Source organism: Homo sapiens, chromosome 3 (assembly GCF_000001405.40).
Source record: "Homo sapiens chromosome 3, GRCh38.p14 Primary Assembly".
Classification (NCBI taxonomy): Eukaryota; Metazoa; Chordata; class Mammalia; order Primates; family Hominidae; genus Homo; species Homo sapiens.
In genome coordinates this window covers 139,437,879-139,452,059 of record NC_000003.12, presented here as the reverse complement: position 1 = coordinate 139,452,059, position 14,181 = coordinate 139,437,879, and the positions used below count along the sequence as shown (strand labels likewise).

Here is a 14,181-nt window from a genome sequence, read left to right as displayed (position 1 = left end):
GTTCATTATTCTGAGCAGAATTGTATTTTGCTGCTGGATACGCAGATGGAATAGTGCACCTGGAAGGACAGAGTGGTTAATGCAGACGGATTTGTGATGGATCATTCACGGGGTCCTAAATTCATGGGGTCCCACAGGTAAAAGGCATGTCCTTCATCCTTCTGTCCCACCATTAGGCAAGCATTCTCTTTGTAAAGCAGGTTTATCCCCAGAGGGGTAGCACATGGTGTTAGCACACTTTGGTATGATTTGAATGATCAGATCTTTTCATTGATCCTGAACATCCTAAATGGGATTAGGGGGATGGATAGAAAGGCTGCAATCCAGCCATGTGGCCCAGGGCCAGCCTTGGCTCAAGCCCTTTGATCAAGCCATCATGCTATGGGCCTCCTGGCAAGCTGTGCTCCCAAACAACCAAGCCATGTTCCTGCAGCAAGAAAGCCAGAAAAGTGCCTGGCTGGAGCCTCATGTTAGCCGGGAGAACGGAGGAGGCGGAGTTCTCTCACATGCATGGCCTTTTTGGTCAAGTCAGTGAGAGGCGCTGGGGAGGAAGGGGAGCCTCCTGAGGAAGTGCAGGCCTCCTCTCCTGGGGCAGACAGGGAACCAAGTAGAGGGACCAGTGAAGTGGGCCCTTTGTCCCCACCTTCCTAGAGCTTCCCCAAGAGCCCATCCCCACTCCTATCACTCTCGCCAGGCTTGCCCTTGCTCGCCACAGGCTCAAATGACCTCTCATCTGTCCCTCAAGAAAACCCTATTGAATGAGGTTGTGTCTGAAGCCCACTGGGGACTCACTGTGAAGTATTCTGCGCAGGTAAGGGGTTAGTATTTATTTTTGATCCTGGGTTAAGATTCCATGAAAAGGTTTATGGTCAAATAAATTTGGAGAACTATATCCCCTTCCTAGAAATTCACAATGAGAATTAGCATTTTTAAAGCTCTGACAAGTCCTCCAGCAAAGACACCCAGCCTGAAACCATGGAATCCCCTTCACCCAGAAGAGTTCCACATCCACAGTGTGCTTTGGAAGCAATGAACTCATTCCCAACATGTGCATGCCACTTTTTCAATTATACATGGCAACAATATACTTTAAAACTCTCATTTTCCAAGTGGAATAGTCTCAGTATATTTTTTCCACAAATGAAAAGTAACTGAATGAATTAGTTTACCTATAGTATGAAAGACTCATGGTGGCTGTATTCATTCTACTGATAATTCTTTTTCAAAGAAGATGCATCTGAACTCAAAGTAGTAAAATTTTAGGTCCCATTGAAAAGCCTGGGCATCTATTTTGGGCCAGGGCCTTCTTTTCATTCCAGCACTCACTGTGGATGGGATAAGTCAAGTTGCCTCTCTCATATTTCTGTTCCCTCAGCCTGTTTCAGAACCAAACCATGGCAGGAATGCTTCACTCCAGCACCAACAAGCCTAGTCGGGAATACAGTAGAAAAGATTAAATTTTAAGACCCATCTAGGGCTTATACTGAGGACAGGGCAGGCCAGTGGGAAGCACTCTTGGAACCTCAGAACCCTACCTCCAGGGAGTATCATGAGAGACATTGGGGTTAGCCATTAACCAGTGGGGCCTGTTCTTGAAAGTTAAAGAAAACCTGTCCTTGAAAGTTAAAAAAAAAATTCAGGCTCACAAATGGGCAGCATTGCAGTGTGGTTCAAGCTTGGACTTTGGCATCAGCCCTTGGTTTGAACATGGACCTTGTCACTCTCCAGCTGTGTGACTATGCAGCAGTTACTTCCCCTCTCTGAGCCTCCCCTTTCTCATCTGTAAAGTAAGGATTATAGAACCTGCTGCATGGGAAGTAGTAAGGAATGAATAAGACCCTGTGGTACAGTGCCTGAAACAACAGTCAATTCTCTCCCTATATACAGATTCTCCTCCCCAATCCCATATATTTATCCATTGTAATACATATATAATGAGGTGATTATTTCCTTCATGAAAACTCTTTGCTTTCTAAGAGTTTTAATACTGAGATCACTTACTGTAGTCATTTCCAAATGTGAAGATCAAACAGAAGGACTTATTAAAAACACAGATTACTGCCACCTCCCCTGCTCCTCTAATCTGGTTCTGAGGTCAGGGACAGGGCCCTGGAATATGTATTATTTCAAGCTCCCCAGTCGAGTCCTCTGCAAGTGCTTAGCAAATACACTGGTAAACCCAGCCTCGTTCATCCAAAGCATGATCATTTTAAACATATTTTCCCACATATGCACACCCACATTCTCAAGCAAAAGCCCAAGTCCACCTCCATAGGTGAGTAAAGTCAGTGGTCAAAGGTCATGTGAACCACTCACACATCTTTCTGCTGATGCAGTATTAGGGCCCCTGACTGTGTCCAACGAGTCCTATAAGAGAAGCGACGTCACCCTCTCTAGAGCAGCTTCATAATGGGGGAGATGTTTAGGCCCTGGATAATGGCAGTGGGTGATGGGAACAGGGTATGGGTGATGGGAACAGGTGGAGAAGGAACCAGCACAAGCAAAGGCGGGAAGCAGAAAAAGGCAAGGAGGGTTGGGGAGAGGTGGGGTGGGGGTTCTTGCCCATGGTGGAAGGCAGGAGGACCAGGATCTGGAGGGCTGTTCTCTCAGGCTTGGGTAGGTCATGAACACTTGTTTGGTCTCAGTCAGTGCACCAGGAGAGCCAGAGCTTCTGAGGAGAGTGATGTATCTGGGATTCTGCAGCTCAGAAAATGATACCCCAAAGTATAGCACTTTGGTGTGCTGAGTACTTTGAACTAAAGGACATTGGAAGACCTCAGAAGCAACCTCAGAACCATGGTCTCTTTGACTTCCTGCTTCCTATCTCTCACCCCTCATTTCTCCCTCAAAGCAAGTCATAGAAACATAATTCCTTGTACCCTAGGTGGGTCATAAAAACTGGAACCCCTCTCCCCCAAAGTAAGCCATGAACCCTGGAAATACTACTCTGACCTCCCCATCCCCTTCTGTCTAGGAGGTGGCCAAAAAGAAATTCTCTGACCTACCCTTATCTGATATTAGATCCTAAGGCCCTCATTGCAGAGGGGTCCTGCATCATACCCAGAAGGAAGAAATGCTACAACAGAGAGGCCAAGAAGAATCTGAACAGACAGGCCTTGCTGGGTTTTCCCATTCAGTCTATTACTACTGGATTATACCCCTTTTGTCCAATACAAAAAGAGTACATGGCTGTCCACTCTTCATCAAACCTAAGCATAAAAACAGTTTCCCCTGGGTCTTGGGGTCTTCATTTTTGAAGTCTCCCATATCACATAAAAGCTTGATTAAATAAATGTGTTATGCTTTTCTCTTGTTAACCTATCTTTTGTTCTAGGAGTGTGGTGGGGAGGAAAGATGTCACTCTTTTTCATCCCTAGGAGGACATGAACCAGGAATGCACTCCAGTCATTGTTGACAGGACAGATGAAGGTGGGGAGAGGAACCCAGGATCAAGTATTTCAGGGGAGAAGCAGTGAGGGACCCATATTAGGGATAGGGAGTGGTCACAGGAAGGAAGGGAAGAACAAGAGAGGTGCTTTAAGGAGCTGCCACACTAGGCAGGGCTGCATAAAGCTCACAGAGGAGGTGAGGGCATAAAGATGGTTGTGGGTGTGGGGACGAGGGAGGACAAATACACACAACACAGCTCAGCAGTGGCAGAGGGAGAGGGGGGTGCCAAAGGGAAGATCACGTGTTGAGTTAAGCCTGTTGTACATGAGGTGACAGAGCAATGACTGCAAAGGCTGGCACGCTCTGTCTCCCTCAACCACTGCCACCCTCCAATGACTAATTGTTACCCCCTTCAAGAGTCCAGCAGCTGCTGCTGGCTGAGAAGGGAGGGAGGTTTTGGCTGGGGCCAGAGCTGATGAAACAGTGACTGCCAGTTTTGAGGCTGGGAGATGCTGATGCCACAAGGGATAAGGGGAGCTACAGAAGGGACAGGAGGGGAGAATGAGGAAGAAGAGAAAGGAGGAAGGAGGAGAGGAGAGAATGTTGCAGGGAGAGGAAGGGAAACAGAGGGGAGAGGTGAAGAGGAAGGGATGAGGGGGTAGAGGAGGAGAGAAGATGGGAAAGGAGGGGAAAGGGTAGGAGGAAAGGGAAGTGAAGAGGAAGGCAGAGGGAAGAGGAAGGGAGAGGAGAGAAAGAGAGAGGAGAAAAGAGCAGAGGAGGGGGAAAGAATGGGAGAGAGGAAAGCAGGGAAGAGGATAAGGCAAAGGAAGAAGAAAGAAGAGGAGAGGGAAGAGGAGGGAGAAAGACTGGAACAAGTAAGAAGAGGGGAGAGAGATAGGAGAAGCTTGGAAAGAACACCTGCTCCTCACCAGCAAGAGATGAAAAGAGGAACAGGTGGGAGCTATGTCTTGCCTACCCAGGGTTCACAGACCACAGTCAGAGCAATAGCAGCTGAGACAGACCCCAGGGGCTTTCTGTAGCCTCTGTTGTTTTTTTCTCCAATGCAAAGGAAGATTCATTTTAGAACTAGGCAATTAAAGCAGAGCTAGTGCACCCACAGGAGGCTCATCCTGGGCCCTCAACTGGTCTTCAAGGCAAGGAATAGATCCAGGTTGTAGGCTTAATCCTTTGTTAAGCACCTCCTCTGTCCCTATTTGAGCTGTTTCCAGGACTAGGATGTAGGTGCCCATTCAGACCAGGTGAAATACTCAAAGTCCCATATTTGGTAAGTAGCAGAGGCAGAATTTGAACACAGGGGTTCTCTCTCCAGAGCCCTAAGGCCCTCCACACAGGAGGCGGCCCCTGACAGGGACAGGGCTATCCTTCCCCCAGCAATCTCCAGAGCCCTGGCATCTTCAGAGACCTCTAATCCCATTTCTTCCCAATCATTTGAAACCAGGAGTGTTAGATAGTTTTTGCATTGCTATAAGTACCTGGGACTGGGTAATTTATAAAGAAAAGAGGTTTAATTGACTCACAGTTGTGCAGGCTGTACGAGTATGGCTCTGGCATCTACCTCCAATAAGGGCCTCAGGAAGGTTATAATCATTGCACAAGGCAAAGGGGGAGCCAGTGATGTCACATGGCAAGAAAGAGAGCAAGAAACAGTCAGGTGGAGGTTCTGGGCTCTTTTAAACAACCAGATCTCACAAAAACTAACCAAGTGAGAACTCATTATCACCAAGGGGATGGCACTAAACCATTCATAATGAATCCATCACCATGATCCAATCACCTCCCACCAGAACCTACATCCAACATTGGGAATCACACTTCAACATGAAATTGGTGGGGTGGGGGTGGTGGGGACAAACATCCAAACCATATCCCCAAACTTTATTTTTCTGAAATTGGCATTCACTTTAGGTCTCCTTTGAGACCAATACCACTGCAGACAGGTGGTCATCAAAAGTGACTTGTTTGCATTTTCCCCTGCTGGGGCGGAGTGGGTGGGGAGAGATAGGTCCCACCTCTGTGGAGAGCCTAACAGAGCTAATGGAAAGACTGGCCTCCTGGAGCTGATTCTTCCACTTGAATCTGCTCTTTTCATTCGTGATTTGTGATTGATTAGAAGGGCAGGGATTGGGGAAATTTAATTTTGGCTCCCTGATTACACTTGTTGTGTAGACAGATACAATTAGAATCTGGGGCTTAAGAAAATGAAATAGAAATGAACTAGACAGAATTTTCAAGAACTTTAAACATTTGATCACTACTTTTCTGGGGCTGGTGCTCACTTTAATTGCTCCTCATGCTTCTGGCCTGCTAAAGCTACAGAAAGCAAGGGAGGGCCAGAGGAAAGCCTGTAAAAAGATGAACAAAATCCCACCTTTGGGGAATATTACAATGGGAAATGTACTCAGCCAAAAAAGAGCTTCCTGAGATCCTATCATGGGTCAGGTGCTGTGTCAGAGGCTTAGGGACACAGAATGTATCCGTCTGAGTCCCACCACGGAAACAGAAACCATGCTAGGCATTTCACACAGAGGAAATTTAGTACGGGGAACAGGTTACACAGAAGATGGAAAAGCTGAGGAGCCAAATAGGAGATGGTGAAGCAAGTCAGAACTTAGCAACATCAGAAAGCTGCCAATTACTAGATAGAGGGACACAAGGAGGAACGTGGTGTTTTCAGAACCCAGAAGCCAGGGCTGCCAAGCAGGGCTGGATCATAGAGAGGAGCTATCAGGGAGACACAGCCACTACCAAAAACCCCTGAAAGAGAAAAAGGAAGACGAGACAGAGAAGCATCCTGGCTTCTCCTTTTTTCCCACTTTTTCATCTCCCATCAGCGCTCCCCTTGGTAGAAACTAGCCGGAAGCCTGCCACTGCCCAGGGAGCCTGGAAAATGTAGTTCCCCGCAGTGCAGAGCAGAAAGGGGAAGGCATCTGATAGCAAATGGGCATGGAGAAGCACGCAGGCAAGTGGCCCCAACCCCTGTCCTCAAGAAGCTCCTGGTCAGACCATCACAAGGATGCATGAGAGGGACCATGCGGGAGGCTGTAGGAGCCCAGAGGAGCCCAGAGGAGTGACTTGCAGCCAAACCTGGGTGGGAGGGTTGCCCATCAGCACTATCGCCTGACCTGAGGTTTAAGGACTAAATGTGATTTGGAGAGGTCACCTCTGAAGTAAAGGGAAGAAGGAAAGGGGCCATCACAGCTAACAACGCCCTCCTTGTACCCTGCGGTATGCCAGGTACTTTACAGGCATACGTGAGCTCTCTTAATTCTCAATACAACCTTACACAGTGATATTATTCTCACTGTACAAATGAGACTGATGCTTAGCAGTGTAAGATAAACATGCCCAGGAGACAGGCAGGACATCAGGGTTGGAGTTGAAATGCAGTTTCATGGAGCCCAGGCTCTTACTGGCCTCTCCCTGTGCAGGGGGCTGCCTTACTGTTATCACCCATCAGTCTTTGGGCAAATGTGACCTTTTCCAAATGCAGACAAACCTTAATCCCAATCTTAAAGGACAATGAAGTTAATAAAAGAAAGCACTTATTGAATTGGAACAAAAGACTATTTTATTAGCCTAATTACTTTTAACTCCTATTAAGTGTTTCAAAGCTCAATGGAAGTGTTTACTTTTATTAAGGTTCATTGTTTTAAGCTTAAAAAGCAATGTTTTCAAACTTAAAACTTCTCAAGAGCCCAGGTCCTTGGCCTCATTGCAGACCCGCTGGCCTGGGCAAGCCAGGGGTGTCACCTGTCTGTGGCCAGGTGTGAGTGTGAGCATGCGGGGACTCTGAGCCTCCTCTTTATAGTGCGCCTCACACTTGCAATTATTTAATGATCTGTAACTATTGATAATTGATGTTCCCATCCTCCTGGGTCAGAAACTCCCCAAGGGCTGAGACAGTTATCTTTCGTGTCCTGTTCTCCTTCCTGGTGTCTCTGTCCTTTGCCCGTCAGCATCACTCACAGTCAGCCAGCCTATTTATCAAGCACTTATCAGTGCCAGCACCTGTGATAGATGCCAGACATTTCTTTCATCCACCTATTCATTCAAGGAGCATTTATTGATCGTCTAGTATGAACCAGCCCCAGTCACCAGGCATTGAGGAAATCATTGGTAAGTAAAAGAGGCAAGTTACCTCTCAACACAGATTTTGTTTTTAAACCTCACAGTCTTGCAGGTGTCATTGTCCTCATTTTATAAACAAGAAGAGTGAAGTTCATACATGGTGAGCAGGTTGTTCAAAAGCACACCCCTAAGAAGTGACAGGGCCAGGACTCATCTCTTCCCTTCTCAACACTTCCTCTCCTCCTTGCTGGGTGGGGTGGCAGGCAGAGGGAGAACCTGCAAATTAACTGGAGAAATTGGAAGACCCAAAGTCAATGGTTTATGTGTTTCTCATTAAAATAAAAGAGTTCCCTGTAATCCACTAGCCACAGAGGAATGATATTCTATTTGTAACATGCTCTACACAGTGCCTGGCATGAAACAGTCACTGAATAAATTGTGGCCAAAACAATAGTCTATCATCACTCTCTTGTTTTAAACCAAAATGGGACCATATTGCTCTAGTGCAGTGGTTCTCAACCAGGGACAATTTTGCCCCCCAGAGGACATTCAGCAATGTCTGGTGACATTTTCAGTTGTCAAAACTGGGGGTGGGGTGCTACTGGCATCTAGTAGGTAAAGGCCAGGAATGCTGCTAATCATCCTACAACATGCAGGACAGCCCCAAATGTCACTATTGCAGAGAATGAGAAGCTGGTATTGTGGAGACTTTTCCTGGGTTGTTGATTATTCTTTGATAACATTATTTTCCACGATTGACCACATGGCTGATGACTTTCTGGAATACATTTGTTAAAAAGACTTTTTTTTTTTTCTGGCCTTATAATCCAAGTTTAGGATTAATCTTACCCCAACTTAATAGACTTCCAGACAGTTGCAGTTGTCTACAAGATTTCCTCCTAGTAGGGCTTTGGGTGTTGGCACCGTTTGGCTCATTCTACTCTCCCTGGGTCTTATTGACTTTCAGGGAGCCTAGAAGAGCTGGACAAAACCTGCTTCTTTGCAGAAAGAGTCGGGGTTCCAAAGATTTCGTTACGATTTTTTAAAGATCACTCTCTCAAAGTTCTTTCTCTCCCATATCACAGGCCTGGAGGCCCTTTCTTAGTCCCATTGTGACCTTTGGGGAATGTTAATGCACTTCTAGCTCATGGAAACCCCGGAAGCCAGTGTCGTGTGACATGAGCCCAGCCGGATTAGAATGATTTCAAATCTTTTTAGGATTAAAGAACAATGGCCTTGTCAGAAATGTCAGGATAATTAGAAAAAATAGTGCTGCTTTCCCTAATCAGATGAGGTTCTGGGGGCTGCAAAGGCATCAGCCAGGAAGCGGCTCCATTTTCTCTAAAACATGAGGCCATGGAAGACTTACAGGGTCAAGACTCTCACCCCTGATTCTCCACCTTGGCCAGAAGTGGGAGTCCTCGGTTTATCGTCTGCCAATTATACCTCAATAAACCTTTTTTAAAAAATGTTTTAAGTAAGGACTATGAGGGGAACCTGGTTATCTCTGGCTAGAGGGATAAGGAGTTCAATAAAACTCACAGAACTAGAGCCATGAAAGCCTCAGTGGTCATCTGACACTACTCCTCTCTGTGAGAAGCCATAGAAGAGACTTGCTAAGATCACTTAGTGATGGGGGAAGCTGGGACTCAAATTCAGATTTTCCTGTCTTGCATTCCAGACCTCTTTCCAATGACAATGAGGGTCTAAGGAAAATAGCCACCACACTGAAAGCCATGCTGCCCTCTCTCGGGCTCTCATGCTTTCAAATCAGGAGACATTATAAAGCACTGCACTGGGTTCAGGGTAACTAAAAGGACCATCTTACATTTATGAGGTGTCTGTCAGTTGTTATGGCACGTTCATATTTGTTATCTTATGTAATCTTTATAAGAACTAGGATGGAAAGGTAGTATCAAAATCTCAATGGCTGATGAGGAAACCAAGGCACAAAAAGGTTAATTTGATTTTCCCTGGTCTAGGTAGCTAACAACGGAGCTGGCACTTCAACACTGTTTGCCCAACCCTTGTCCCCTAGACCTTTCCCTGCTCCTTTGCGTTTCATATCTATTGCCTGAATTCCAAGCTCCCTTTTCAGAAAGACCCCACTGGTGGTCATGTGAAGGTCGAATCGTATCCCATTTGGCCTGTGTCTCAGTACCCAGGGCCCGGGATCTGTGTGCAGGGCTGGGGGGCTACGGATCCTCTCTAGGAGTCTCAGCTTTGACACTGAGTCATCTTTTGAAAGTACGTATATGATAATAAAGGTAATCATTTTTGAGTACTTACTGTGTGCCAGGCACAGAGCTAGACCCCTCCCATGCATTTGCTCATTTAGTCCTCACAATAACTCAGTGGGGTAGGTAGCATTTTTATCCCCATTTTACAGACAAGGCTCTCTGATGCTCAGAACACCCAAGGAACCTGTCCACATTTCCCAGCTGTGGAGCAGCAGAGCCTGCAATAAACACAGATTGGAAAGCCCCCCTTGCTTTAAGCAAGTGCTGGTTAATGTCCTACAATAGGACTGTTATGAGCACTACATTTCATAGTGCAGGAGAGAAGAGCATTGGCTAATGGGGCTTTCTCAGGAATTCCATGTCAGATAAGCTTTTGTTTGTTAAGCATTCACTGGATGCAGAGCCCTCTCCAGGCTCTAGGATCTGAGCTGCCACCCAAGTCAGAAGCAGAGGCCTGGTGTCCTTTGAAATCCTGATTCTACTCAGCTGCTTCTTTCTGAGCTCCAGAATGTGAAAATGATACATGTGGGAATAGTGGGCTCCACTGTATTCAGGCTTGTGTTCTCTTTATGGGTGGGCAGTGGGTGCGCATGAGGCCAGCAGGGAATGATGCCAAAGAAAACTGAGGTTCTTGTATGCCCTAGAGATGGGCTCTGGGTGGCTGAGCAGGTCAGACCATGAGAAGAGGCACTTGAAAACAAAGAAGAGGAAGAAGGATTTTTAGGTTCTGCCCCCATCGTGGCTTTCTGGATGCCAGGAGGAATTATTGGTGAGCGTCCAGCTGGACCCCAATCAGTGATGCTGCTGACTCTCTGGAACCTGCCATTTTGCTCCTATTCACTTGTCTTTCATTTTTTGCCATACATCACCCTGCTTTAAAAAGAGACCTCTAACTGACTGTACAATGACATCCCTGCTCAGGCAGTCTCCCAGCCCTGCCCTGCCTCTCCCCTGCAATATTTCCTCAGATGCAGTGGCCAAGGCAGGTCATCCTCATGCCTGAGAAATCACTGAAAGGGGAATCTGGCTGAGCCCCCAGCTCCCAACCACAACCCTTTCCCTCCCTGCTTTCAACTCTGCTAAATAAGAAAGCTGGCTCAGGCATGGTATGAAGGATACTATCTTGTCCTGCCTCTCAAAAGCAATGGGCACCACTTTACGAACCAGTTGGCATGGCGACTGAGCCAAGAGGATGCTTTCAAAATGAGCAATTTAACATAAAATGATCCTTGCATTTTTAACTGAATGTCACATTCCCGTAATTGTAGGACAGCTAATTGGGTAATTGTTCAAAATGTCTTATTTCTGTTCTCATTCCACTGAATGTGTATACATGCAAGCACACACACACACAGTCACACACACACACAGAGTCACACTCACAATGGGCCATGCTACTAATGCCATGGTTACCAATGACCAAATTCATGAAGCATTTGACCTCAATGCTGGACAATTTGGTGGCTATTGATTCATCAGCGTCATCACTACCTAACTGTGTTCAACCCGACACAGGCCCTTCTTCATTCCCCTCCTCTCATACAGAGGATGTTTGTGACTTTCAAGACGTCAAACCTGTACTCTCACACACCCACTCCAACAGAGGGGAAATCTGCCTGGTCAGGGAACTCTGACTTAAGAAAGTTATGGCATGGCTCTGCCTATGTTTTTGAATTCCGAAGCCCCAGCCTAAGCATGTGTCCAGGGTTTATTGTATATCCATCTTTTAACATTAATTCCATGAAAAGCATACGTGTTGTCATCTGAGACAAAACTGCCTGTTTATTTGTTCTGATTTAATCCTGGATTCCATGGCATACATGCTTGGTGCCTGAACTGGAACCCAGCTCTTTGAATTCACTGCTTTGGTATACTAGTTGCCACAAAATATTTTTTGTTGTAAACATTGTTTCCGAAACTCTAATCTGGTGAGCAATTCCGTTTTGCTGGGTTCCTATGTTAAACTGACTTTAGAGAGAAGGTATCCACCATACCTCAGGACAGACTGTCCCTCCAAAAAGAGCATGGAGGACTGGTTAACTCATCTTAATTATTTTTTTAAATTCAAATTGCTGCTCTGAATAAACTAGAAGTAGCCACATGTGCTCAACTTGTGTTTCAGCCTGGGGCAGCAGACTGAGTCTGCTGTTTAATTGTGCTGAAATCCAGAGATGAAAAGCTGGTAACCAAGAGTCTGTCACCCAGAGGGGGTAATGGAAACCCCACTCCATCTCAGATGACAGACACCATTCTGACCTTTTATTGCTGATTGCAAGCCTTTTGAGTATAAAGCATTCTCTTTTGTTCTGATTTTCTGACAACTGTTTAATCATGTTCTATTCATAGAAATTACAGTAAAATTCTGTTGTTTCTCATGTATCAAACAAGATAATGCACATGGAAATCAAGTTCTGGAAATGAATAATAAAATCCTAAACCTCCCAGCAGTAGTGAAATCCTGAAGTGTGCTGAAGGCGAGGTATGTAGGTACAGACTGGGAGGCATAGAAGACATTCATCCTGCCACAAACATTTCCAAATACATTTGCCCTCAAACCAAGGTCCAATCATCAATAAAATGAAAGTCCAATTTTAACAGCACAATGGAAAAACTTTGAGTAGGGAACTGACATTTATTATCTTTAATGTACATTATTTTATCCGATCCCTACAATGGCCCTATAATGTATGTTCCATTAACTCCATTTTATGGACAAGGGAACCGAGGCTAGGGATGAGAGACAATGCCCCAAGGCTGCCTGGTCAATAAGCTGCTGGGTGCTGATTCTAAAGGCCTCATTCTGATTTTCAAAACATTTCAACTGCCACAACTCCAGTGTCCCATCAGCTGCCTGCCCAGCTGGTCATAGGTCACTTCAGGCCAAGCAGCTGTTCCTGAGACAACCTGAGGGCTCATGGCTGAAGAATTGTCCTAAGGACAAGCAAAGTGGCCACTCACTAAGAAGCAAACATAACCCAGTCTCCTTTCTTCTGTGTCTTCCTTATCCCACAGTGCTTCAGGTACCTCAAAAGCCTCTTGGCTCAAGGAAGGCAGATAGACAAGCTTTTTCTTTTTTTTTTTTTTTTTTTAAAGAGGGCAAAGCATTTTTATTGTTGTTTTAAATAAAAGTGATACATATTTGATGTAAAAAATAAACTTCAATGCAATATAGAGAAGTGCAAAAAATGGCAAAAAATTAGAACGTTGATAACATCTTGGCAAACACCCAGTTGGGCACTTTTCTGAACATAAGCACGTGATCATAGGTGTGCAGAAGAGCCTCAGGAGGGTCTCCTCTTTCATGCTGTTCCATAATCTAATTATTCTCACGCAGAATTAGAAAGTGCAGGTATAATTCCTTCTTTTTTCAACACTGTGTGGTATTCCACTTTTTAAATTTCCAACGAATCCCTGACTGTATACATTATTTTTGCTATTACAAACAACAGAACATCCTTTAAAATATATAGTTTTTGTCTGTTTGTTTCTTATGTATCTGTGATTATCTCCCTAATCATTAATTCCCAAAAGCAGTGAGTTAACCAAAAATCTAAGACCTTTGCTTTCTCTTCTTTTTCTTTCATTGCTATAAAAATCGGAACAAAAACCAGCTGCCTCAAAATGACCAGAGGAGATTTTCTCCTATTCCTTGGGGGACTTCTTCATCTATTCCTTACCTTCTACTTATTGCTTGCTTTCATATTTGTGATTCATACCTTTTTATTTTGCTCATTATAGTGTAGGTGGCTCTGAAAAAACTTCCTTTATGGACTCCATCCTACTGTTCCTAAAGGCTGTTTGTCTTCTCCAGCTTCTAGAGGCTGGGGTAATTCAAGTCTATCCAATTTTTTGTAGCCTCAGGGTACAGTAGGGAGGAGAAGAACTCATTTGTAAGTGACATGAAGCCTGAAGGACTTTGCCTCTCTCTCTACTGGGATTTTAATAAAGTCCACAGGCAGCTCCCCTGAGGCTTTATAATGGTCCCTCCATTCAGGAAAAGAACTCAAGGACCAGTGAGCCCTATATCCACTGTGGCCTTTCTAGAATAGTTAGGGGCTTTTATTTAAGCCTTTTTGTTTTGTTTTGTTTTTTAATTTTCTACAGAATGCCTGTTCATTGCCTACTGTTGCCAGATTTAGCCATCATCATCAATATTATCATCATCTTCATCCCAGGACACCCAGTTACATTTGAATTTCAGAAAGACAAAAAAAAATATTTTAGTATATTTATGTCCCAAATACTGCATAAGGCATCCCCTAAACTCATTGTTTATCTGAAATTCAAATTTGACTACATATCCTGTGTCTAAGCTGGCAGTCTTACCTCAGTTCCTTTCTCTCCAGATTAGGACATAGTCATGTGAATTCTCAGAAGTTTTTTCACTTACCTTCTTCCATCAGAATAGCTTATTGGAAACTTTTACGGGTCATGGTAAGTCAAGCTAGACTTCATTTTATTA

At 44.9% G+C, this 14,181-nt stretch overlaps 1 long non-coding RNA gene across 2 annotated transcripts in view; it reads right to left on the bottom strand.

Annotated features, from left to right (window-relative positions):
* The window catches only part of COPB2-DT (COPB2 divergent transcript), a 193,517-nt gene that overhangs the window by 131,260 nt on the left and 48,076 nt on the right, over nt 1-14,181 (bottom strand). Inside the window, exon 4 of one of the 2 annotated variants that reach the window (NR_121608.1) lies at nt 7,456-7,766. The exons of the other annotated variant lie outside the window; for it this stretch is intronic. This is a non-coding gene — a long non-coding RNA (COPB2 divergent transcript). Of the gene's footprint in view, nt 1-7,455; nt 7,767-14,181 lie in introns of those variants that run through there. 2 annotated transcript variants of the gene reach the window in all.